Source organism: Homo sapiens, chromosome 8 (genome assembly GCF_000001405.40).
Source record: "Homo sapiens chromosome 8, GRCh38.p14 Primary Assembly".
In the NCBI taxonomy this organism is placed as follows: domain Eukaryota; kingdom Metazoa; phylum Chordata; class Mammalia; order Primates; family Hominidae; genus Homo; species Homo sapiens.
Genome location: NC_000008.11, coordinates 134477070 through 134502541, shown reverse-complemented (window position 1 = coordinate 134502541; position 25472 = coordinate 134477070). Strand labels below are relative to the sequence as shown.

The window sequence follows — 25472 nt, the reverse complement described above, 5'->3', positions numbered from 1 at the left end:
TGAGAGGGAGCTTAAGTAGCAGTTCTTGCTGGAAGACATATGTTGGTTGCCAGCCAGGGTTGGAATTGCTGTTTGTTATTTGCAGTTCATTGTTTTTTGCAAGAAAAGGCACTCTACTTCAGTGGAGACCATATACACCAGTTGCCTGTTTGCAAGGAAGTGCATGTCCAATCTGTCGTGTTTTAATTTAAGGCACTGAGTAATGTGGTCCCCTGACCCCTTTCTCACTGCCCATCTGGACAAGGGCTCCTGGTAGGGAGAAGCCGCTCTGCAGAAGGGACTTCTCAAGTGCAGCCTCTGGCTTGAGAGAAGCCTGGTGCCCTGTGGGCCACCTGAAGGGATGCTCAGACTGGCCTCCTCCCATCGGGGGGCAGATGTTGAACATTTTATAAGACTTGTGGTGAAATAATGAGGAGGGGGGATCTAGAAAGTGACTCTATGAGGCTTCAAAATCTATTTTTATTTTTACTTTTAAAAACAAGCGCTCTATTCTACAACTGTGATTGTAGCTACACAGCAAAAGATCTGAAAGAAGAACCACATTGGTGCAAGATACTCTTCTAACTCTTTACAGATTGTGGTGTAAGAGAGCCTGGCCATCTGAATTGTCTTAAAGTGGGACCGAGATGAGATCTCTTCTCTAATCCTAGCCACAAAAAGGATTGAGTGAAGTCCATCCCATTTTTCTGTTACCCTCTAAGCTCGAATAACTGGTGAGTTAATGGAATTTTCCTTTTCTTGTTCCCACAGAGGCACTTTTTTGACTTCTACTATAAACAAGTCTCTCCCTAACTTCAACACAATTCTCACAGTGCAGATAAAAGGAGAGTCACTGGCTGGCTTTTCTCTTTTCTTTCCACTCACCTTTCCCCTTCAAAGCCTCCTTTGACTTCATTTCATCTTGCCTGTGCGTGTGTGGTACATTACAATAGCAGACCTGTATTCTCTCGCACCGTAATGGAACCCTAGCATCTTCAGTTGTATCATTTACTCCACTTTCCCGTAACGGTTTTTTTCTGTCATTATTGTGGCTCATCTAAGGAATCAAATCCTTCCAAGAAGATTAAGAGTATGTATAATTGTAAAAGAATTGATGGTAACAGCAGTTTCCATCTGCCATAACTGCTTGTATTTTCTGTTACTCTTCATTGTATTTGGATGTCACACCCACTCCATCCTTGCAGCCTCTGTAGTGTAATGAGTCACGATGGATTCAAAGGCCTGTGGAAGACCCAGGCAAGAGAATTGCATGTGTCCTCTGTAGGCGGGCAAATTGGTTGCGTATCTCCAGGACCGAGAGCATAGGCACCCAGTGTGCTTCTTAGGCCTCAGATGATCTAATACTAGATTCTTAGGCATATGCTCAGGATTTCTAATAGATACCTATAATCCAGGTTTCACTTTTATCTTTTAATGCCAAGTCCTTTTGATCTTTGTAAAATACTGAAGTCTCACTGATGACTTTGTTTTTTTCCCTATATCCTAGCCCTTACTGTAATGACAACCACTTTTCAGCTGCACGCTTTTGTTGGTTGGTGAGGTTAGGCTCCTGCCTAATGAACTCTGCAGTGCAATTTATTTGATCCCGGGCCTCTGCCAACTTTAATTGTATGAAACTCCTAATTATACATGCAGGTAGCCTCTTAAAAGTGTTCTCATACTTGGCATTCCTTATATAATGTTCTTTCTGTTGTTGCGGAATGGTGATCTTTAGCATGTAGATTCAGAAACAAAAAGTTCATTCAGAGTCTTGGCAATAGGTTACTCTCCCTTGTCACTTAATGCCAGCTCTTGTCCTTTGTAGGCCTTTCCTAGTTCTCCTGTGGTTGTTTGAACCTTTTCTTTTTCTTTGTCTTAACTAAAACTTTTTTCAGAGACTTCTGCTTCTGGTATGACTTTGGATGGCTGCTACTCCACATTGCATCCTTTCCCAAAGCTCTTTTGTTACTTGCTGAGCTCTCTTACACCATAGTAGTTACAGAAAATTCCATTTCTTTGTGAAATTTTTAAAGTAAAAATAGGCCCCATGATATATCTGTGGCCATATGAGAAATGGTCTGAAAACATAGAGAACAAAGGTTATTCTCTGTTTCATTATGGTGCCTTTTTCCCATGCAAGCCATCCTTAGCTAACCTGAGTATGCTCATCTATCCAACTTCACTTTTCTTCCTTTTCCTAAGTCCCCATCTTTCTGTTATTATGCCCCAAGAAGCTACAGCCTTGGTTGGTGCTATTTGCAGAATCCCACTTTATTTGAGTTTTAATACTGCTGAGTTTATTACTGTTTGCTTGGTGCCTGTTTCCTGACCCATGTCCTTAGCCAAGGCAGGTCGGTTTTAATTGACATCTCCCCTCCAGGCAGCTTCACCCTGGGAAGTTGTCCTTGCTGGCTGAGATCACTTGGTCTATTTCAAGTTTGGGGTCAAGGCCAGGCTGTAATAGCCCTGACGGGAGTGAGGCAGAGCTGTCCCGCATATGGAGGAGAGCGCTGCGGGCCCTCTGTAGACTTGTCCTGCCTCAGGCTGGCCCTTGTTTTTCATTCCCACCAGAACAGTAGTCTCCATCCTGGCCGGAGGGATTCCCGGAAACAAGAACTCTTAGTGTCCCCCTCCTTCCTACTCCTCCTATCCATCTGGTGTCCCCAGCTGGTGGAGGGCCTCTTGCCTCCTTGCCTCTCCCACCGGACGTCTGCCCTGTCAGCACATGTGGTGGCCTCCTGCTTCACAAGGGGCCTCAAATGTCCCTCTGGCCCCCGGCCTTACCGCCTTCAGTTAAGCCCTTGCTACTCAAAACGTAGTCCCCCGGCCAGCAGTGTCAGCATCAGGGGGCTTGTGAGAAATGCAGAGTCGCTGGCTCCACCGCACCCCTCCCAAATCAGGCTCTGTGTGTAACCAGCAACGGGGGCATCACGGCTCCACCCCGACCCTCCCAAATCAGGCTCTGTGTGTAACCAGCAGCGGGGGCATCCCAGCTCCACCCCGACCCTACCAAATCAGGCTCTGTGTGTAACCAGCAACGGGGGCATCCCAGCTCCATGCCAACCCTACCAAATCAGGCTCTGTGTGTAACCAGCAACGGGGGCATCCCAGCTCCGTGCCAACCCTACCAAATCACGCTCTGTGTGTAACCAGCAACGGGGGCATCCCAGCTCCACCACAACCCTCCCAAATCAGGCTCTGTGTGTAACCAGCAGCTGGGGCATCCCAGCTCCACCCCGACCCTACCAAATCAGGCTCTGTGTGTAACCAGCAACGGGGGCATCCCAGCTCCACCCCGACCCTACCAAATCAGGCTCTGTGTGTAACCAGCAACGGGGGCATCCCAGCTCCACCCCAACCCTCCCAAATCAGGCTCTGTGTGTAACCAGCAGCAGGGGCATCCCAGCTCCACGCCAACCCTACCAAATCAGGCTCTGTGTGTAACCAGCAACGGGGGCATCCCAGCTCCACCCCGACCCTACCAAATCAGGCTCTGTGTGTAACCAGCAACGGGGGCATCCCAGCTCCACCCCGACCCTACCAAATCAGGCTCTGTGTGTAACCAGCAACGGGGGCATCCCAGCTCCACCCCGACCCTACCAAATCAGGCTCTGTGTGTAACCAGCAACGGGGGCATCCCAGTTCCACCCCAACCCTACCAAATCAGGCTGTGTGTGTAACCAGCAACGGGGGCATCCCAGCTCCACCCCGACCCTACCAAATCAGGCTCTGTGTGTAACCAGCAACGGGGGGCATCCCAGCTCCACCCCGACCCTACCAAATCAGGCTCTGTGTGTAACCAGCAACGGGGGCATCCCAGCTCCACCCCAACCCTACCAAATCAGGCTGTGTGTGTAACCAGCAACGGGGGCATCCCAGCTCCACCCCAACCCTACCAAATCAGGCTCTGTGTGTAACCAGCAACGGGGGCATCCCAGCTCCACCCCGACCCTACCAAATCAGGCTCTGTGTGTAACCAGCAACGGGGGCATCCCAGCTCCACCCCGACCCTACCAAATCAGGCTCTGTGTGTAACCAGCAACGGGGGCATCCCAGTTCCACCCCAACCCTACCAAATCAGGCTCTGTGTGTAACCAGCAACGGGGGCATCCCAGCTCCACCCCGACCCTACCAAATCAGGCTCTGTGTGTAACCAGCAACGGGGGCATCCCAGTTCCACCCCAACCCTACCAAATCAGGCTGTGTGTGTAACCAGCAACGGGGGCATCCCAGCTCCACCCCAACCCTACAAAATCAGGCTCTGTGTGTAACCAGCAGCAGGGGCATCACGGCTCCACCCCAACCCTACCAAATCAGGCTCTGTGTGTAACCAGCAACGGGGGCATCCCAGCTCCACCCCAACCCTACCAAATCAGGCTCTGTGTGTAACCAGCAACGGGGGCATCCCAGCTCCACCCCAGCCCTACCAAATCAGGCTCTGTGTGTAACCAGCAACGGGGGCATCCCAGCTCCACCACAACCCTCCCAAATCAGGCTCTGTGTGTAACCAGCAGCAGGGGCATCACGGCTCCACCCCAACCCTACCAAATCAGGCCCTGTGTGTAACCAGCAGCGGGGGCATCCTGGCTCCACCCCAACCCTACCAAATCAGGCTCTGTGTGTAACCAGCAGCAGGGGCATCACGGCTCCACCCCAACCCTACCAAATCAGGCTCTGTGTGTAACCAGCAGCTGGGGCATCCCGGCTCCACCCCAACCCTACCAAATCAGGCTCTGTGTGTAACCAGCTGCTGGGGCATCCCGGCTCCACCCCAACCCTACCAAATCAGGCTCTGTGTGTAACCAGCAGCAGGGGCATCACGGCTCCACCCCAACCCTACCAAATCAGGCTGTGTGTGTAACCAGCAGCGGGGGCATCCTGGCTCCACCCCAACCCTACCAAATCAGGCTCTGTGTGTAACCAGCAGCAGGGGCATCACGGCTCCACCCCAACCCTACGAAATCAGGCTCTGTGTGTAACCAGCAGCTGGGGCATCCCGGCTCCACCCCAACCCTACCAAATCGGCTCTGTGTGTAACCAGCAGCTGGGGCATCCCGGCTCCACCCCAACCCTACCAAATCAGGCTCTGTGTGTAACCAGCAGCAGGGGCATCACGGCTCCACCCCAACCCTACCAAATCAGGCTCTGTGTGTAACCAGCAGCAGGGGCATCCTGCACATTAGAATTTTAGAAGCCTGTTCTCAGCTGTCAGTCCCCCTCCTCTGGCTCACAGAGGATGCTGTTCTCTTTCCATCCTGCTGCTCTGAGATGCAGTTTTCACATAGAAGCCAGGGCGATCTTTTAGAAGTATCATTACATCACAGCAACCCTTACTTTAAAATCCTCCAATAACTCAGAACGTCTCCAGTAAACTTAGAATAGAAGCTCTCCATCGCCCACCAGGCCTGACAGCAAGGTGCCCACCTCTTTCCCTCCACTTTCCTTCTTGCTTCATGGTGGGATGTTTCAAGAAGACCTACCCCGCCCGTGCTGACTGTGGGAGGCGCAAGATCCGGGAGCAGCTGCCTCTGCATAAAAGCAAACACTCCAAGAAGGAGCACGACCTATGGGGGCGGGGGTCCCTGCATGTCAGGATAACCCCTGCCCGTTAGGACACATCAGGTTAGACCCGGTGGTCAGCTTCAGCTGTTGGATTGTCAGGTCCTTCCTGCCCTGAGGGGGCAATTAGGAAGGGAATATTTTCAGAGGGGCAGAAGCTCTCCTCCCTCTCCAGGCAGTGGTGAAGATGGGGCCACGGGGAGGAGTACCCTCCCTCACCCCGTCACAGTTCTTAGGAACTGTGTCACAAACCATATCTAGTGTGGTTGGTTATACACATGGCTTTTCCCCCCAGCAAACTGGAAGCTCCATGAGAGCAGGTGACAATTTGGTCTCACCCATCTCTGGGATCTCTAGCACTTGGCTCAGGGCCTGGTACATTTTAGAGGCTTCATACGCATTCAAAACCGTGAATTCCAGATCAGATGTTGGGAAGCTGAGCTAGTGGGGCCCAGTTGCCCTGGGTGTGACTTGTGCTGAGCAGCCTCATGCTCTCCAGGCTGGCAGTGCATACCCTACCACAGGAGCTGCAGGCCTCTGGGACAGAGCTCCCCTGCCCCGGATGGACAGCACAACGGGTTATCTCTGGAGAAGCCCGTTTCATGGGAGTCACCCCAGCTCATGTCACAGTGGATGGAGGAGTCCTTGGCACAGCCAGTGGTGTAGCAAGGGGCTAAAAGACAGCCAGACTGTTTGGGTTGGATCTGTCACATAATAGTGTGTGACCTTGGACAAAACACTTCTCTTCTTTGAACTTGTGTTTCCCCATCTGTATAATGGGAAGATCATGGAACTTACTCCAAGGGGCTGTTGTATGCATTATACCTAATTATGCAAAATGAAGCCACTGGCCCTGTGCCTGGCACGTGGCTGAGTCAATAAATCTTAGCTCCTGTGATCATGGAAACAGCATAGCTCCTTTCCTCTTACTGTGCATGTAGAATTCAGCCACAGCTGTTTCTGCTTCTGGTCGCTTCCATTTAGCAGGTGAGTGCTGATGCTGGTGTTGTCTAGGCTCTATGCTTGGCATCAGGAGTCCAGGGTGGATAAGACACCAACTTTTTTTTTTTCTTTGAGACAGGGTCTCACTCTGTCACCAAGGCTGGAGTACAGTGGCGTGATTATGGCTCACTGCAGCCTCAACCTCCCCTACTCAAGCGATCCTCCCACTCCAGCCTCCAGAGTAGCTGGGACCAAAGGCATGAACCACTGTGCCTGGCTAATTTTTGTATCTTTTCTAGAGACAGGATTTTGCCATGTTGCACAGGCTGGTCTCGAGCTACTGGGCTCAAGTGATCTGCCCACCTTGGCCTCCTGAAGTGTTGGGATTACAGGCGTGAGCCACCACACTGTGCCAGGTACCACCTCTCATGGCAGAGCTTATTGCTTGGTCCAGGGAGGTAAACACATAGTTACACAAATTAACATGATTGTGGCTCAAAATCATTTGACCCCTTACAAACTCCAGTTGTTGAGTCATTGTGAGTAATTCCCTTAGAGGAGGCCCTGGGGGAGGCATGATGATGAACCGAATGCTCACGTTCCCCCCTTAATTCATATGATTGAAATCTAATCCCCAAAATGATGGTATTTGGAGATGGGTTCTTTGGGAGATGATTAGGTCGTGTGAGTGGAGCCCCATGAATGCGATGAGTGCCTTAATAAGAGAGGAGAGAGCTTGATCTCTCTCTTTCCACCATGTCAGAACACAATTACAGGTCAATAATCTGCCCTTGGAAGAGGGGCCCGCACTGTAACCTAACCATGCTGGCTCCCTGATCTCAGACTTCTAGCCGCCAGAACTATGGGAGATAGATTTCTGTTGTTTATAAGTCACTCAACCTGTGCTGCTTTGTGACAGCAGCCTGAGCTGAGACCAGGCTGCTTTGGAATTGCAGATGCTGAGGGACATTGCCCAAAGTCAGGGGAGCTGGGCAGGTGGTGGTTCTGTGTGAGAGAGACTTAAGACCAGGCCAAAAGAGAGTCGAATTAAGTAGAATTAAGTAGATCTTCCTACTCTGAGAGAGAAGTACGTGGGTCATGTGGATTTGAAGAGCAGGAGCTGGTGTCTTTCTGGGGTTTCAGCATAAGATCGGAGACTGTCATGTCAACACCAGTAGGGTGAATGTCAAAGCTTCACTGGTGCTCAAAACAAGAAGAGATAGTTTCTTTTTCTGTTCTTAGATGTACTTGCTACTAATGAACTTACCTCGATAAGTTTGATGAGTGATTTAAATGGTTTATGTTTTGTTATGATAAACATATTTTAAACAAAAAATAAAAACACTTTATTCCTGGGAGTTTGGTTTTTCTACCTTGGGCAAGGGCTGTTGCTCTGTGGTTATCCAGGGAGGAATACGACCTGGGTCCTGCCAGCTCCGTTTTCCTTCACTGCTCGGTTACCAGCAAGGCCCTGGTGGGGTTCCGTGGAGGCTTCAGGTCACTCATGTTCAAGTACTGGGAAAGAAACTGCTAGTGGAAGCAGATTGCTTAATTAGGGGGAGAAGAGTGTGCGTCAGCTGAGGAAAGGAGCCAGGCGCTTCCCCAGCAGGCACCGAGACAGTGTCCTCGAGATGGCCCACTAAAGGGCAGCGGATCGATCCTGTCCCCGCAGCTTTATCGAGCACCTGCTGCCCTTCAGGCTGACAAAGCCACCAGCAAAGAGAAAGGCCGGGGCCTGCAAGGATGGTCACGGGGGTGATTTTGTGAAAGTCAGGCAGGTGGAAATGTACAAAGGAAACTACTCCTAAAGTACAGTGGAGGGGACTTGGGTGAGAAAAAGCTGAAAGGTTTGCCCAACCCCAACAGCCGCACAGCTGTGCAGGGATCACCAGGCAGGGGTGTGGAGGGAGGAGAATGTGTAGGGAAGAGAGTGCTCCCTGTGTGAGGACCGGGCAATGCTGTAGAGCTGCCACGCCAGGCCTGGCACTAAATCAAATAGAGATTCAGTGTATGTGCACTTAAAGGGGAAGAAAGTCAAGTATTATGCACAATAAATGTGTCTAAATATCAAAAGATATTTGTGAGGAGGGGGGAACTCTGCCTGCCTCCTTCCCTTTCTTAGTGAATCTGCTCTGAACTGTTTTAGCACAGCTTTGAAATATCTCCTGGGGTCCACATTTGAATAATTCAATTCAGTGTTTATTGAGTGCCTACTATAAGCTGGGTGCCATATGGCCATGGCATGATGGTGTGGAGGGGATATGTGAAGCACACGGGCAGCAGCTTAAGTGCATGGGAGCTTGGCTCAGCCGGGGAGGGAAGGGGGCAGCAGACCGTTCCTCCAAGGAGGGCCGGCATCCAGAAGCAGTCATGAGTGCCGTGCCTCACGCACCTGCCCTGTGCCAGGCACTGCCCCCTGCCCCGCCGTCTCTTCATTCCCATGCACTCTCTCTACCATGTGGAGCTCTCTAGTTTCCCACAATTTACGAGAGAAGGTTTCCTTTTCTAGTCAAATGATTATTCAGATCAAACTAAGCAATGCCTAGACTGCCGAGACATGCAAGAGGTACAAGATGTTCTAGTCATGGGCATCCTCTTTCTGTTGCCCAGTGAGTTGGTTTGGCCAGTATGGAAACCTTTTCATCCTCTTCTTACAGCACTGAGGCCAGGAAGCCTGCATTGCTCCTCTCAGCCTGTTTCGAAGGCCCTTCTCTCTCAATGAAGAGAGCTGGCCCTTCCCGTTCCCCTCAGGCCCAGGGACCTGGTGGACAAGTCCGTGTTGCAGGTGGCAGCAGAGCTCTCCAGTGCCTGGGGCTTAGGAAACAGGGTTGCAGCTGTGTTGGCCGGTAGTGGAGTCTCAGTGTTGCAGAGACCCAGGTGACACAGGAAATGGGTGGTGACTGCCATTAGCAGGTGGCCTTTACAGCTTAGGCTTTGCACTGTGCATGGGATTGATACCTTCGGGAAAGAAAATATGTCTGCTGTCTACTTACAACCAAGACAAAAAATAGGGTGGAGAGGCAGCATTATACTGTCTTCCTCCATGAAAGGTGTCTAGCCTGACAGTGGGATGAATCATGGCCTTCCTCACTTCCTGTGCATTCTTTCCTCCCTAAAAGGCTTTAAATCTCCGTTGATGTATGGAATGGCTTCTTCCTGCCTGTGAATATCTCCTGATATTTCCACAAGTTTCTTGCACATATTGCCCCCTCAGAACACCCTTCTTTTTGTCCTGTGCAGGTATATATTTCTGGAGTTAGGAATTTATGATGTTTTTTACAAACCACATTCATTTATGCATTTTCTTTCCTCTATAAATTCAGGATTGTGTTTGCTGTTTCCCTTTGTTTCTGACTTATACAACTCCACTCTTCACCTAGGGTTGTGAAAGCAAATGTCCTTACTTGTTAACCTTGTAAAATGGTCCTGCCAGTCCCCCTTTTGAGAATGAAAAGGAAGCTATTGCTTGGTTATAATTTAAGCAGTGAGTGAAGCCCTAATCCCTGGAAAAAATAAGGCTTCTTCCCCAGAGCTTAAACACACACAGGGGAATATTCTACCTGTAAGAATCGACTGCAGGTAGATTCTTTTTTCATTCTTGTTGTTAGGTTGTATTTGGACTTTTGTCTGCAGTCCTCTAATTCTTACCATAACATGGAGTCTACGAATTTCTGAGTGGAAGGGACCATAGAAGATGTTGGCCATTTGGGAGGAAATAATGAATTGCACGCTTTCCTTTGATCTCGAGGTATGGAAGCATCTGAGAAACAAGACATGAGTGAATCAGATGGTAATGAGAACAACAGGAGAGGAAGAGGAATTGGAGACCAGTTGAGCCATCTAGTCACATGCAGGGCTGGGCAACAGCAGGGCAGCTCTTCCTAGGAGGGCAGTTGCTTGCCGTAGCACGTGGAGTCTCAGCCCGATGGACCCAGGACTCCCCTTGAATAATGACTACCTTATAACACTCCTTTTACTCACCTGAAATGAAATTCATAGATTCCTACACATGCATGACTGAAAAAAAAAACAAAAAACAAAAACAAAAACAAAAAAACTCTAGTGTCCTAACTGAAATAACAAGAAGTAAATGGAAAGTTATTAATTATAAAATAAAAAATTGAGTATTTTAATATTCAGACATGACTATACCAAGATACAGTGGTTGGCAGGACAGTGGTGCCCCAGAGATGTCCACGTCCTCATCCACAGAACCTACAAATATGTTAAGTTTTACATGGCAAGCGGGAATTAAGGTTGCTAATTAGCTGAATCCAAGATGGGGAGATTATCCTGGATTATGCACATGGGCTCAGTGTGATCACACGTGTCCTTAAATGGGGAAGAGGAAGGCAGTAGGGTCAGAACCAGAGAGATGACATCGTAAGAAAGACTCCACCAAATGTCGTTGGCTTTGAAGATGGAAGCAGGCCACAAGCCAAGGAATGCAGGGGTCTCTAGAAGCTGGAAAAGCCAAGAAAGTGGATTCTCTCTTAAAGTCTCCAGCCGGGATCACAGCCCTGCTGAAATGTTGATTTTAGCTCAGTGAGACCCATTTCAAACTTCTGAACTCTAGAACTGAAAAATGATACATTTGTGTTGTTTTAAGCTGCTAAATTTCTAGTAATTGGTTAAAGCAACAATAAGAAAATGAAATAAAAACCTAACAATGTGGTCAGGTGCCTTCTCCTAAGCGTAGTGTCCACTCTGGGTGCACCAGCCACAAGCACAGGCCAAGAGCACATTGTGACTTGAGGGTGAGACTACTAGTGTGAGCAGCATCGCTGATGCCGGAGGGCTTTCGTAGAGCAAATGAAGTACAGTCTTCCCTTGCTGGAAACAGAAGTTGTATTTCTAGAAGAATGCAGCACACAGACTCAGTACTCTGTGTTTACATGTGAAACAGTTAGGTTCTAGGTTCAGATCATCATAAATAAGGTTGTTGTTATTGTTTATTTTTATCCTTGTGACTGTTTGGGAGAAAAATTTAGAAGTCATGGTGAGAACAGAACAATTCTTGGTTGTGAGGGACATTCTGATGCATTGTTGCCCACACCTGCAGCTTTCTAAAAGATCTCTACAAGGGATGGAGGGTTCTGCCGCTGAGGTGCACTGGCTTCAGGCGTGGTGGAGGAGAGCTCTAGGCAGGGGGAGGACAGCAAGGCAGACAGGAGGCCAAGACACCGGCTTGGGTTTCTTCTCCAGACCCTCTGAGGGAGGGATGTGAGAGGGTAGTTGGGAGGCAGGACTTGCCTCTCAGACTTCTGAAAGGGTGAGAATTCCTGCTTTATGGACTTAGGAATGCAGGGAGGGGTAAAGGGCAGACTCTCCTGTTAATTTCAGTGTCCATCCTGAGGAAGAATCCAGCCTGATGGTCTTGGAGCAGCTATTTGCATAACTTCAGTAATGGGGAGCTGGTTATATCAATTCCAGACAGCAGCCCGCTGTATTCCGTAGCCCCTCTGTCAGCTCTGGCCCCTGCCAGAACCAGCAGTACATCTGATGGCCCCTCATGTGACAGCTCCTTGTGTATTTGAAGGCACAGGCATCTTTTGGGCCCTGCAACTTCTATTCTGTAGACCAGACATCGCCAAGTACCCCAGCCATTTTTTTCTAGAACTGGTCAGCCTTCTTGGAATGTTGACTGATGAGTCTTTAGTCCTCTTCGTGGTTGAACCCAGGCATGGACTCCAGGGGAGGTTTGAAGCTGACGACAGTTGGAAGAGATTGGGATGGGACTTTGTCCCTCTTTTCAGTGAACTCTAAGCTGCCTTTACAGTGACCACGCTCACCATTCACTCACCTTGATCTTGGTGTCACCTCAAACCCCTGGATCTCTTTAACATGTTCTACTCTCAGATTCTGTGTCTCCCATCTATGTTTGTGGCATTAGGTGGTAAACTGAGGCACAGACTTCTATGCTGTTCCACATAACTAAGAAGTCGCTTAAGGGCTCTTGTGGTCACACCTAGAGTGAGAAATAGCGTGGCCTGGCCGGGGTAGCCCTCTGGGGAGGGGAGGACTGGGGCGCTCTGGTCTGCATTTCACAGTGGAGCTGACAGATCCCGCAATGCTTTGGACGTGGAGTGTGTGTAAGAGCAGAATCTGGGCTGATGCCTAAGCCTTTTGCTTTGAGAAGAGGGTGGATGGTGGTGCCTTCTACCGAGAAGAGGACAGGAGGGAGGAGCAGGTTGGGTGGGCAGGAAGTGACTAGTTCCATTTTGGCTTTGTTAACTTGGAAATGACTATTTGACACCCACATGGATATGTCTAGTAGGAAATATGCTACACACATTTAAATTTCAGGGGAAGGGTTTGGTCTAGACATACATTTGGGAGTTGTCAGCCTGAAGACAATATTTGAAGCCATGAGCCTGGCGGAGATGATGGAAGGAGGGGATGTGGAGAGAGAAGAGCCCTCCTGGGGCTGAACGCTGGGGCCCTATGCCACTTAGAGGTCCAGAAGCGGAGACAGATGCGGCAGAGATGGAGAGAGAACAGCCAGAGAGGACGGAGGACGCTGAGGAGGGAGCTGTGCTGTGGGGCAAGTGAAGAAAATGGCCCAGGAGAGGAGCAAGGGAGGGCTGGAGGCTGCAGAGGCCGAGCAAGGTGCAGACTGAGCTGTGAGGGTCGGACTGGCCAGGGTGGCAGTCACTGCACTCTGGAAGAGAGCAGGCCTGGGGAGCACTGGGCCTAAGAGCCTCCTAGAATGGGTTGAGGGGGAATGGGCAGGGCTCAGATAGACCATAGAGGCTCCTCTGCTGGCCCCCATCACTGCACCCTCTTGCTGTGTTCAGGCCCATCCTCTTCACGGGATACCAGACTGTCCCTGGCCTCCCTACCTGGAGGCTTTCTGCCTCCTCTTCCCCATAGTCCCCTCCTACACCTCAGGGGAGTGAGCTTGGGGGTCTGATCAGGTCTCTGCTGTCTAATAGAGAGGCACCCATTAATTTTAGAGTAAAACTAAAATTCCTATAAGATCCTTCATGATCTGGTTCCTGATGGTCTCTCTAGTCTTTTTTTTTTTTTCCTCTTTGTTTCATCTCTTCCCCACCCCCACCCCCCACTTGTTCTGTGCTCTGGCTCTACTGAATCTCATTGCATCTTGTTCTGTGCTCTGGATATACTGAATCTCATTGCATCTGTCCAGCCCTTGGGCTGTTGCTACACCCTTTGCTCTGCCCGGTGCTTTTCCCCATCTCTTTACACCTCCTCCCATTCTTCAGACTCGTAGGAATCCCACAGTGTTACAGACCAGTGTCATCATCTTCAGGAAAGCATCCCTGGCCACCAGCTGCTTCCCACCCCACCTTCCCCCGACCCTGACAACCCAGGACAAGCCCCCTGTCCTTTTCTTCCCTGAACTGCAGCCTGTTGGTGGCAGGGACTGCATCTGGCCTCATGGTTCTGTTTCTAGCCTCCACCAGAGCATCTGACACATGCTAAATTCTCAGTGGACAGAAGAGAGGGCCTAGAAGTTGTCTGAAGTATATGTGGGAATTGAACACATGAGAGATGTGACACTCCAAAGCAGAGAGTGGGTGGCTTTCAGAGATGGCTTATTCAACAAATGGCCCATCTCTTAGCGGTGTCTAAACACAGAGGCCACCTCGATTTGTCTTGCAAATCAGGTGCTGATGTTATGTAACTTCACGTTCCTAACTCCACCCAAGGAGAGTGACAGCTTTCCAGTCTAGCAGCTCAGCACAAGCACTGGCCTTTCACACCTGTTCCCCATGTTAGCCTTGTTTTCTATCCATCTTCTGCTTTCTCAGTCACTTCCAGCCCCAGCAAACTTGCACCAACCTGCCTATCTGCCAACTTCATTAGCAAAGGGCCGCCGAATGCCCAGCATGGGGGTGCCGTTTACCTGTATGAAGGCCCCACTGAGTAGCATCTGGGCCGTGAGGTGCCTCCTGAAGTCAGACCTCCACTCTTCCCTAGACGTCCCCCTGGAACCGCAGTGCCTGAGCTACCCTACTTGGGGCTTGCTGCATTCATTCGCTCTCTAACTCTCTCTTATTCCTGTGGTTGCTCAGTACGGAGGTCAAGTCCTGGTGGGGCGTCTTCCCTCCTCTTCAGCTGTGCCTCATCTGGTGGTGATTTGAGCAAGACTTCCACTCTGCACTCTTTATCCCAGTGATTCATTCGAGAAGCAGCATTCACTGTTCACCTTTGTGCCAGGAAGGCGAGGGAGAGCATGACACAGGTTGCACCTCCTCAGAGCGGCATGAAGTGCTAGCTGGGATCCAGTGCTGCTGGTGTTTAACAGGAGTCAGCACAGCGTTGTAGGGGGCACTGACGGAGCTTCCTGGAGGAGAGGGCATGGACGTGAGTTCTCAAGGGCAAGAAGGGATCTTTGGGAAAAGATGGTGGACCAGCACAGCTGGAAGTTCAGAGGCGAGAGGGCATGTGTGTTCAGGAACCAAAATTGAGTGTGGGGGAAGGAGTGAGGCAGGGAGGGCCTTGCCTGTCCAACAGGGGAGCTTGGCTTTTCTTTTGAAGGTTACAGGAAGCCGTGAATATTATAGAGAAGGCTGTGGGCTTTGGAGGTTTTTCACTTGGCTTCAAATTCCAGAATCACCTGTTACTAGCTGAGGGCTCACATCGACTCTCTGAGCCACCCCTTCTCAAAGGGATGCGATGGGAATCCCCTCACCCTGCCTTCCTCACAGGGCCCCATGAGAATTACAGGAGGTATAGCATCCACAAACACTCTGTAAACTGGGAGGGGCCTACCTTTTCAGGTCATTATGAGAAGTGACTGTAAACCAGGGGGCAAGTAGTGTCACAGGCTACAGAAGAGAAAGAAGGAAAGGAAGCATGAGCCAGGAGAGATGTCTTTTACCTGCAGGCCTTTGTTGAGATTTAAAGATGGAGATACACAAGTGTAGCAATGGACACAAAGCCATGCCCATACCTGCGTACATGTATACACACATATCACATCCATGTATGTGCACAATATTCATGTACACACACACCCATAAACCTCCACATAAGCATGGATATCCACGTAGACATATGCAAATATATGGACACATACAGACCCATATACATGCATATGTACATATACACACATGGACACACACCTGTACATACAGATATACACATGAACACACATATACACACATGCACACCCATGTTCCTGCACACAGGCATGCACGTGTACATAGCAAACCCTCACACACGCCCCTCACCCCTATGCACACTGCCTGCATCTAGCCTTCGATTGGCTCCTGTCTTTGCATCATTGCCTCTCCCATGCCTGATCTCATCAAGTCCTGCTCATCGTGGTGCTCACTACATTCTCTGTGGTGATGATCTTGACAGTGGCTCTGTTCTCCTGGTGGCTTTCTGCATTCCGTCCTCCTCCCCTGAAACACGGAAGGCTGGATCTGGATCTGGGGCTGCCTCCCAGCAGGTTCTGAGAACTGATCCTGAGAACAACAGGAGTGCCAACAAGAGGAGAAGAAAGAGTGGCTTCTCTGTTCATTTCCTGAGCCACAACCCCGGGTGCCTTCCCTTTCAAGGACATTAATGACATCTACGAGAGGGCTGTTCTCCAAGACATGGTTTAATAAATAGGAACCTGATTCAATTTATTTAAAAATGGATTTGAAACATGAAGGATGCCTGAAGCGAAATGACCTCTTGGTGGTGGTGGCGACGGTGACAGAGGTGTCGGTGGAGTTTCTTTCCCCTGAAAAACATAAAGGATGATTCCTGTCCTAAAGAGACCACCCAGCTGGAATTCCCGAAGTGAAGGCAGTTCATCTTCCTCCCAGTGCCTGACGGAGGGCACAGGCTTGCGGGAGGGCACTGGGAATGTGGGCAGCATCTAAAGGCAGCTGCGTTGGCGGCAGCTTTGTTTCAAAGGGATGCAAACCCAGTAAGGGGTTAACTGATGCCATCCCACTGTCATTCTGGTTTTTCATTTTAGGGCCAACGGGTTTTATTTTAAATTCCTTTATTCATCACTTATTTATGTGTTGAGAGCTAAGTTCAAATAATTTGGTAGGTTCTGCGTGGTCTGATGAAACCCTGGAAATTCCAATCCCCTGTCAGGACTGAACAGGAAGGCGGCCCCAGCCCTCTGCACAGGCATGTGGGGAACTCGGGCACCAGGAGGTTCTTCGCACCCTGTTTTGAAAGCTGTGATGCGAATTTGTGGTGTTTATCGTATTCCAGCAGCAGTTTAAACAATTGTTACTTTAAATACCCAGCTAGTAAGAACATTTTCCCTTTCTTGTTGCTACCTCTGTGGGATTCAGCCATAAGATTCAGCTCTCTCCTCTTAATGAGTCTTTGTCATATTTTGATGTCCTTGAATGTGTCCTGGGGCTGTTTCAATGTCCTGGGGAGGGGTGTTGGTGCAGCCTCTGACACAGAAAGACCTATGTTAGGGAGTTGGGTTTCAGAGGCTGTGGGCCAGGTTATACACTAAGGTCAAGTGTCCCCACGGGCCACTGCCTTCCCCACAGTCTTCCTGTTTGGCAAGACACCTCCCCATCAGTGTCAAGGATTCCAGAAAACGTGTGTCAGATGAGGAGGGGTTGTCTTTCCTGCTTCAGCCAGCCTCCGGGCATTTTTGAGAACATGTTTCCCAGGCAGAGGGTACTTTGACAGAGGAGTCCATCAGTGTCTTCTCATTAGAGAGGAAAGAGAGGAATGAAAAAAGACTGTGCTGGGGTCAAATGCAGGAGGCCAATGGGAAAATCAAGAAGATTGTGTGGACCCTGACACTGCAGCCTCCTGCTTGGCCAAGCCCACAGCTGTGCACAGTGGCCTGGCTGCTGGGACCATCAGGCTCAGAGGCCAGGCGGAGCAGGGGGAAAGCAACTACATAACTCCCCAGGACCCAGTGGGTGGGCAGAGCCCCCCAGGGCAGCTTGTCATCCTCCCCTGAGTCTGCCTCTTCTCTAAAGCTAGGACACTAAGACTTCTTAGGGTGCCGTGAAGACTAAGTACCTAATACACGTAGACTCTTCACACAGCACCTGACCCACAACAAGCACTTCTTATCATTCCAGATTGTAATCTCAGAGCCCTAGATCTGTCCTGATGATGATGTCTCCATCATCATCATCATTGTGTGTTTACTGCTTTCTTTGTTCATCCAAGGATGGTCCCAGCTACTCTGGAAGCTGAGGCGGGAGGAACTCTTGAGTCCAGGAGTTTGAGGCTGCAGTGAGCTGTGATTGCATCACTGTACTCCAGCCTGGGTGACAGGGTGAGACCTTGTCTCAAAATAATAATAATCACTACAACTATTATAAATAATATTGTTATTCCGGGGAAAATCTACTTGGCGTTCGCCCCTGCCCAGGTGCCATGCTAGACATTCTGGCTCTGTTCTCCCAGTAACCAAAGTGCTGTGTGGCTTGGTGTGAAGTTGCCTCATGCAGACTGGGGAATTTTGCAGACTAGAAGTCAAAAAATCTGTGCTCTATTTCCAGCAGTGTGGCCCTGGGTAGTTTATTTTCTCTGAGCCTTGACTTCCCTTCCATAGAATAAGGTGATTGGACCTTTGGGACTTTTGGAGCCAAAAGGGACTCTCCTCCATAGACAATGCACCGTCTTCCCTACTTTCAGATCATCTGGGGGGCTCCTGCCAGACAGAGTTTGAACCAAGGGCAGGCAGCAGCTGGCCCTGGAGTCCATGGCTGCTCCAGATGGTTCTCTTTATCATCACTTACAGGTTCTACATGTGGGCAGTTCTACAGCTATAGGTTGGTACAAAAACTGCAGTTACTTTTGCACCAGCCTAAATCACCATCACCTACTATGTGCCTACCAAGAGCGTGGCACTGGACTGGGCACAGAGGAGCCGGTGCTGTGCTTGCTTCTGGGGAGATCTGTGCAGAGGTGGATTGTAATAGCCTTTGTGCACTGGCTCCTCGGGGCACCCTTGGAGCCCTGTGGGAGCAATGCAGGACCCACCTTCCTTAAGGAGGGTGTCCTGAGCTAGAGGAACTTCTGGGATTTTCTTAAATGTTGGGGGAAGAAAGCTTAACCTGAGAGGAATGGGTTTTACGAAGGAAGTGAGGAGAGGAGCTAGAGGAGAAGGAGAAGGCAGAACAGGCAGGGGAGTAGGAAGAAAGTGAGACAATGAGGCAGCCAGAGCCGTAGCCACTGCCTGGCGCACCGCAGAGGATCCATCAGCGTTTGCTGGATGAATGGATGACGATGGGTTAAAGCCAAGGAAGACATGGGGTCTCAAGGGGAAGCTGCCTTTTAGCACGAAGAGAGCCCAGCAAAGTGCCGGTCCTGACAGTGATCTTGTCCAGACTCCAGAACACTGGAGACAGCGGAACAGCAGAACACGGTGCCTGATTCAGTGAATGATTTCTGCGTCCCAGGGGTTAAGGGTTTCTATCGAGCTATCTATGCTGCTGCTAATTTCTCTGATAGATGTGTTAGATACGGCATTTGGGGAAAATGGAGTACTCATCTCAGGGGATAATGACACTGTGAGCGCCATATTATTTCTGTGGTGAAGAACAATTTTAAGCCTGTGCTAATAGATTAAGCGACTAGAGTGATTATTTTGAACAAAGAGAGTGGTTGAGAGTTCTACAGCCAGCCTGAGACTAATCAGGAGGAGTAAAGAGTGATAATTTAATCATATCAACCCATAACATGGGATCCTGATAGTGGCTGTCACACTACACCAGCTGAAGGAGGTCTCTGAACCACCCAGACTAAGTTCCAGCTTTTGCTACTTTCTGGCTTTTTGACCTTACATAAGTCACGAGGCCAGGAGGAGCTTCAGTGTCCCCATTTGTAAAATGGGAACACAAATGCCCAAGGCATAAGACATTGTGTGTAAAGAATCAGGACAAGGCATGGGAGAATGTTCAGTAAACTGCAAATGGCTGGGTGGATATTGGGTGCCGTGGGAGCAAGGAAGGAGGTGCATGGTTTGTAAAAACTGCATAAAAGCAAACAGAGTGTGATCATATACCATGAAATGCACAAAGGGGGTGCACTCTGCAGAAAGCCCTATGAACCCCTTCTGTAAAGCAACCCACTCTCCCTCCTTCGTCCTCTCTACACGTTAGCTTTTTGTGACGTGGACATCTGTGTGGGCAGCGTCTGCAGGGCCAGCAGAGCCACTTGTGAACACTGGGGAGAGTGTAAAGGAGGCCCAACAGGAGGCTGCAGGGGACCTTCAGGAACCCTGCGTGTCTTGGACGCTCAGTAACACGACAGGGCAACAGCGTGCCTCCCTGTCACATTTGTGCACACCAGGAAGCCTGCTCTTCGCAGGACTTGGGAAATACACATCACCATTGCCTCCATCGCTTTTTCTGGTGAATTAAGCCCAAAGAATGACATTGGAAAACTTTTTTGTACTCTGATAATTAGCAGTGGATGAATTTCATGGGGATTCTGTTGGACAAACCCTGGAGGCTAAAAATTGAAAAAGCAAAACAAAATAAATGGAGAAAGGTTATCTTTAAATAGATTTAATACTTAGAAAAGATACTGTGGGCAAATAAATAAATATTTAGAGGACTAATGAGAGAGGCATACTTCTCAGGAGGGCTTCTCATGTTGGGCAAGTTTTGATTCATAAATGTCACAGATTGGATGACGCAGGGCCTTTCTTTGAAAACCTTTTGTGCCTTCCTTTGTAAAATAAAGGCTCAATCTGTCAGCTGATGACCAAGGCTTTTCAAGATCCGCCTGCGAACTTCGTTTCAGGCCTCATCTGCTGCTTCTGCCCCAAATGCCTTCTCTCCTGTGACTTTTGCACAGCCCTGTTCATGCACTGTTTGACAGACATCCCTAAACGCCTCCCACTTGCAGACGGAGGTATGATCTGGAGCTCAGGAGTGGTGGCTGGAGTCTGGCTCAGCCGGGAGTAAAAGTGCCCGGGGGGTCAGAGAAGAAGTCAAGGTGGGAGACCCAGGAATCCTCCAGGCTTAGTGATGGGCAGAAGGAGAAGAGCAGTGAGCCACCCTGCAGTCTGGGAGAGGGCGCGGAACAGAGCCCAGTGCTGGGGAGGAGAGTGGTGAAAGCAGTGAAGAGCGTCTCATGCCGGATGGTAGAGAACGCTCTGGAAGAGTGAAAATGGGACTCTGCCCAGTGGGTTTGGTGACTGGGAGGTGGCCGGTGGCCTTGGTCGGGCTGTAGGGCACACGCCTGTTCTTTGCTCACTCTCTTCTCTCGCCTGTGATGTCCTTTCCCACCACAGACCCTCTGTGGCCAATGCCACCTTCCAAGAAGTGGTCCCAGGCGCTGCTGCTGCAGAGTTACTAACACATCGTTTACCTTCAGGTCAGGCACGCTGGCCTCCTCTGCGGCGTCTATGGGCAGCAGCCATTTCCAGGCCAGCGAGGGACTCCTGCTTCCTCCTGGCTGGTTCTGAGAACTTGGAGTCTGTCCCCTGTGCTGCCAGGGGACAGGAGGCTGCAGCCGCTGCCCCTAAAAGGCCTGGTCCTGGCGTGGTTCTCCTTGTCCTTGGCAGTGATTTCAGCCACTGTCCATACTTGGGCATTGTGGTGTTAGTGTTTTTAAAGGGTGGGAGTTTTTAGCCAGTGGAAAATTTCCATCAGTGAAGGAGTCACTGTCCTCTTTAGGGTTCGCTTCGGTGGCAGTCACTATGTCCACAGAATGGTGCCATGACCCAGAGCCTGTGTTAAAGCTCATGGATGGGTTTGTCTCCCTGTATTGTGTGTGGTCTGTTTACCTGAAGTGTGGAGGGCTTGTTTGCACATGTGAAGCCCTGGGGACCTGGGAGTAAACCATCCCCATCCCCTCACCCTTTCCTTTGTGTGGCATTTACTGACAGGTAAGAGGAGAAAAGATTAGCTGCATGTTGCCTTCCCTTTCCCAGTCTTCTGTCAGGTTCTCTCTTGCAAAGTGAAATAAATTAATATTTACTTCTAAAATCCTGGTTCATGGTACATTTTCCCAGTTAAATGAAATTGAAACAAATAGGAAAAGATGAAAAAACAGATCTCAGTTCACTCTAAAAAAACAAATCAGTCTAAATGTATTGATAGTTTCCACTCAGAATAGCTCTCCAGCTCCGGGTGAATTCTATCAGTCCAAATCAAAAGTTCCTTCCAATCCATAATTTTGGAACCTCCGGAGCTCACCCCAGAGGAACCTTTTCCATTTTTCTCTCTGAATTAAACATGACCCACCTTTTGACACAGCCCTTCTCACTCATGGAGACTGGAATAATCACAGGGTCAGGATGAGACCCTCCAAGCCAGTTGGGCCGTCCCCAGAGAGAGTGCAGAGTCAGAAGAGGTGGGGAGTAGAAGGCCACCCAATGCCAATTTGCAGGCCAGGAAAGGACCCGGACATGTCGTGAGTGGGACCTCATGGAGGCTGCCCGAACACACTTGCTGCTCCCTACACCTCCTGGGAGTCATGGCTCCCCAGTCCCTATGCCCATCTCTATGCCTCTCCTGGGACCCCAACTGGCATAGGCTGCCCCTGCAAGAGCCCAGCTACTCCACAGCACAGTCATTCACTGTGCCCTGTGCCTGCAACATGAGACTCGGCTTCCTCAGAGGACTGTGGTTTTCTAGTGCACAGCGTGGCATCTGACACCTAGTGGATCATCAGTCAGTAAATATTGAGCACATGCTGTGTGCCAGGCATTCAGCTTGGCTCTGGGGAAACAGTTGTGACCAGGCAGACATGGTCCTGCCCTTGTGGAGCTTGCAGTCTACTGGTAGCTGGTAAGATGACAAAAGTTCTGTAGAGTGAAAGAATGAGTGATTGACATGCTAGAATACTTTCCAGGCAGCAGCAGGTATTTAAGAAAGTGTGGTTGAGGCCGGGTGTAGTGGCTTATGCCTGTAATCCCGGCACTTTGGGAGGCCAAGGTGGGTGGATCACTTGAGCTCAGGAGTTCGAGACCAGCTTGTGCAATGTGGAGAAACCCTGTCTCTACCAAAAATACAAAAATTCATTGGGTGTGGTGGCACATACCTATAGTACCAGCTACTTGGGAGGCTGAGGCAGGAGGATGGCTTGAGCCCAGGAGTCAGAGGTTGCAGGGTTGCAGTGAGCTGAGATGGCACCACTGCACTCCAGCTTGGGCAACAGAGTCAGACCTTGTCTCCAAAAAAAAAAAAAAAAAAAAGTGTGGTTGAATGAAGGGATTAAAAGGTCAGTACTGTTATTGAGCACCCACTTTGCATATAGAATCTCCTTCCATTCTCCCACGAATCCTCTGAAGAACACATTTTAGTCCCTGTTTTACAGATGAATAGACTGAAGGTTGTGGGCAAAAGTGTCTTGCCCAGGCCTCGTAGCTTATAAATGGTGGAATTGATGCTCAAAGCCCGGTCAGTGCAGGACAAAGCACGTGCTCTCCCCACCTTGCCATTCAGACTCACCTGGAAATGAATGGGTGTCCCTGACACCCCTCTGTAAGTCTGAAGACTCTCTTATCCTCCAGCTAGATAATTCCAGGCCCCTTTGCTTTCCTCTTGTGCCTGTTTTCTAATCCTTCACTCATTTTTGCAGCTCTAAGGTCTCAACTCCATGTCTTTTGTTTCTCATCTCAAGATCAAAGACAGTTGTTATTTAAAAACAGCCCAGAGCTGGCAGCATGAGGGATGTGGGATATTAGCACCAGCTGGCATTTGGTCTTGCCTGGAATCTGGCAGCTTGGAGCTTCAGAGAAAGGCCTGGCCATAGAATCCATGAGGTCCCATCCCCTGACGGATACCCAGAAGGCTCTCCTGTCCAGCCCTGTGGCAGTGAGTTTCCACCAGCAGGCCTTCCCCCAAATAGTTAAGGCATTAGTGTTGCTGGACGGACGACACCTGGGGAAAATCAGGCCTGCCAGGCGTCTGCTCCTTCCTAGTGTGATACAGATCTTCACACAGAGGCAAGCTCCCTGAGTGTGGAAACACAGAGAGCCCAGGATAGACGTAGTGCCTTTATCACTGCCAGATGGACCAGCTATAAATTTCCAGGAGCACCGCCAACCCCTACCACTGACACCTGCAGTAACTAACCCCCACCATGCCTTCCAGCCCTCATTCTCTAGGTAACCCCACACCTCCTGGAAGCCCCGGGAAGCAGCTCGGCATCAGAAACAACCTCGGACTCTGGGTTTGAACTTAGGTTCCACCATTTGCCACGGCTGGGGACCCTGACCACGTTGCCCTACATTGCTGAACCTCATTCTGTTCAGCTGTAAAATGGGCATGAGAGCAAGCACAGCCTGGTAGAGAGGATCCGTGGAGAATGGACGTGCTCCCGCAGCGCACTGGTGCCTCCTAAACTGTAGTTGTGACTTTGTTGTTACGCTGGACCGGGAAGTAGGCGCTGGGTGACCTTTCTCTTGCCCTCCTCCCGCAGGTCACCGAGGAGGAGCCCAGCTCCAACCACACGGTCATGATCCAGGAGACGGTCCAGCAAGCGTCCGTGGAGCTTGCCGAGCAGCACCACCTGGTGGTGTCCTCCGACGACGTGGAGGGCATTGAGACGGTGACTGTCTACACGCAGGGCGGGGAGGCCTCGGAGTTCATCGTCTACGTGCAGGAGGCCATGCAGCCTGTGGAGGAGCAGGCTGTGGAGCAGCCGGCCCAGGAACTCTAGAGGACATGTGGCATCGGATGGCCACAGGGCGGGGCTGCCAGGCTCTGCAGGCACCCAGGGTGGGGAGGCCACCCTTCCTGCCCTACCCGCAGAATGGTGCTCTCCTTTGCCCTCCCTGCCCAGCAGCCTGATAGGACTCTCCTAGTCCAACTTGGGGTGGGCAAGGCAGTCAGCATCACCAGCAATACCACAGGACCCTCACCCCAGCATAGACACACACCCCCTGACCCTTACCATCTGCTTCCTGAAAGACTTCAGTGTCAGCTCCCCTACACACACCCCACACCTTCACCCCTTGCTTCAAGATTCAAACAGAGACTCCCAGTCCCCCTCAGCATCTTCCCTGAATCACAGCCCCAGCTCCTTGACCCCCATCTAGGTGCCAAATGTTCATCTGCAACCGCTATGCAGTCTGGTGAGAGGGAGACAGCCATCACATAGAAAGTGACCGTACGGGTTTTTAATCACTGCTGGGTGGGGTGGGGGTAGGGGGATTGTCCTGGCTTTGTCGACAAAGTCCCACTTCCCCGAGTATTAAGGGCCCTTGGTATCAAGTGAGGTAAATTCACCCATCACAGGGTCTCGCCCTACCATCCTGGAATTATTTCACTTTTAAGATAAATGCACTATTTCACTGTTCGCCTCCCATTCTAAGGAGGTGAGGTGGTTGGAATAAAAACAGTTCCTGTCTGAATGCTTTGGTTCTTCAGGCGGGATGGCTTACATTTCCCCTTCCCAAGTTGAAATCTTGGATTTGGGGCCCACCCAGAAGGACCCCATCCAAACCCAGGCCCTTAAAATGCAGATGGTGCTCTTTCCTCTGCATTTAGGTTTGCTTTGGAAACCTTTTGACGTTAATGATCTCACCTTCCATTTCCTGGCACCCAGCATTTGATTTGCTGCCAGCCAAGAAGTGGCAGTGCCCTCTTGTCCACTGTGTATTTGGGAGGAACAATGCAATGACCATCAGAGGTGTCATAACACAGGACTATGTGACCAAGGTTTCTAGTCTGGGTGCTCAACATAGATGCCATATGTTTGGAACTCCTGCTCTGTGCACAGCATTGTGGGGGCATTGACTTGAGTCCTGATACACCCAGCCTGGCCCTGGGGTGTCTTGACATCTTCACATCTGACACCCTGAGGTCAAGGTTTGTTTCCTCCGAGAACCCTTTCTTGCAATGAAATCTGATGCAGGTTTAGAAGCAAATAAAAGAGTAGCCACCCTGTTGAAGAGGGCAGAGTTCACTTGGCCCTCCCTGTTACCAGCCCTCTCACCTCACCCCAGCAGGGCCTGAGGGCACCTCCTGGGAGAAGCTTAAAAGCTGCTTCTCTGATTCAAGTAGAAAAGTGACTCCTTGCCTTAAGCAAGGAAGAGGGAGAACACTGCTGACTTGGGATGAGTTAGGGAA

General features: G+C 50.2%; 1 protein-coding gene across 12 annotated transcripts in view, besides 1 other annotated feature; it reads left to right on the top strand.

The window, feature by feature from the left end:
• The window catches only part of ZFAT (zinc finger and AT-hook domain containing), a 354552-nt gene extending 329798 nt beyond the window's left edge, over window positions 1–24754 (top strand). For 10 of the 12 annotated variants that reach the window (NR_110323.2, XM_047422062.1, NM_001174157.2 and 7 more), the window contains one exon: window positions 23821–24754. Coding sequence is in view for 11 of the 12 variants with exons in the window: in XM_047422062.1 (XP_047278018.1) it covers window positions 23821–24060 (240 nt within the window). In the remaining variant the exon portion in view is untranslated. Of the gene's footprint in view, window positions 1–574; window positions 6446–23820 lie in introns of those variants that run through there. The other 2 variants (XM_011517206.2, XM_017013716.2) reach the window with 2 other exon arrangements.
• Window positions 1523–2034: an enhancer, noted in NCBI's record as "NANOG hESC enhancer chr8:135512751-135513262 (GRCh37/hg19 assembly coordinates)". NCBI's record gives its function as "activates a minimal SCP1, AML or CMV promoter by ChIP-STARR-seq in naive H9 embryonic stem cells {active_cell/tissue: H9 hESC(naive)}" and the evidence as "EXISTENCE:reporter gene assay evidence [ECO:0000049][PMID:30033119]".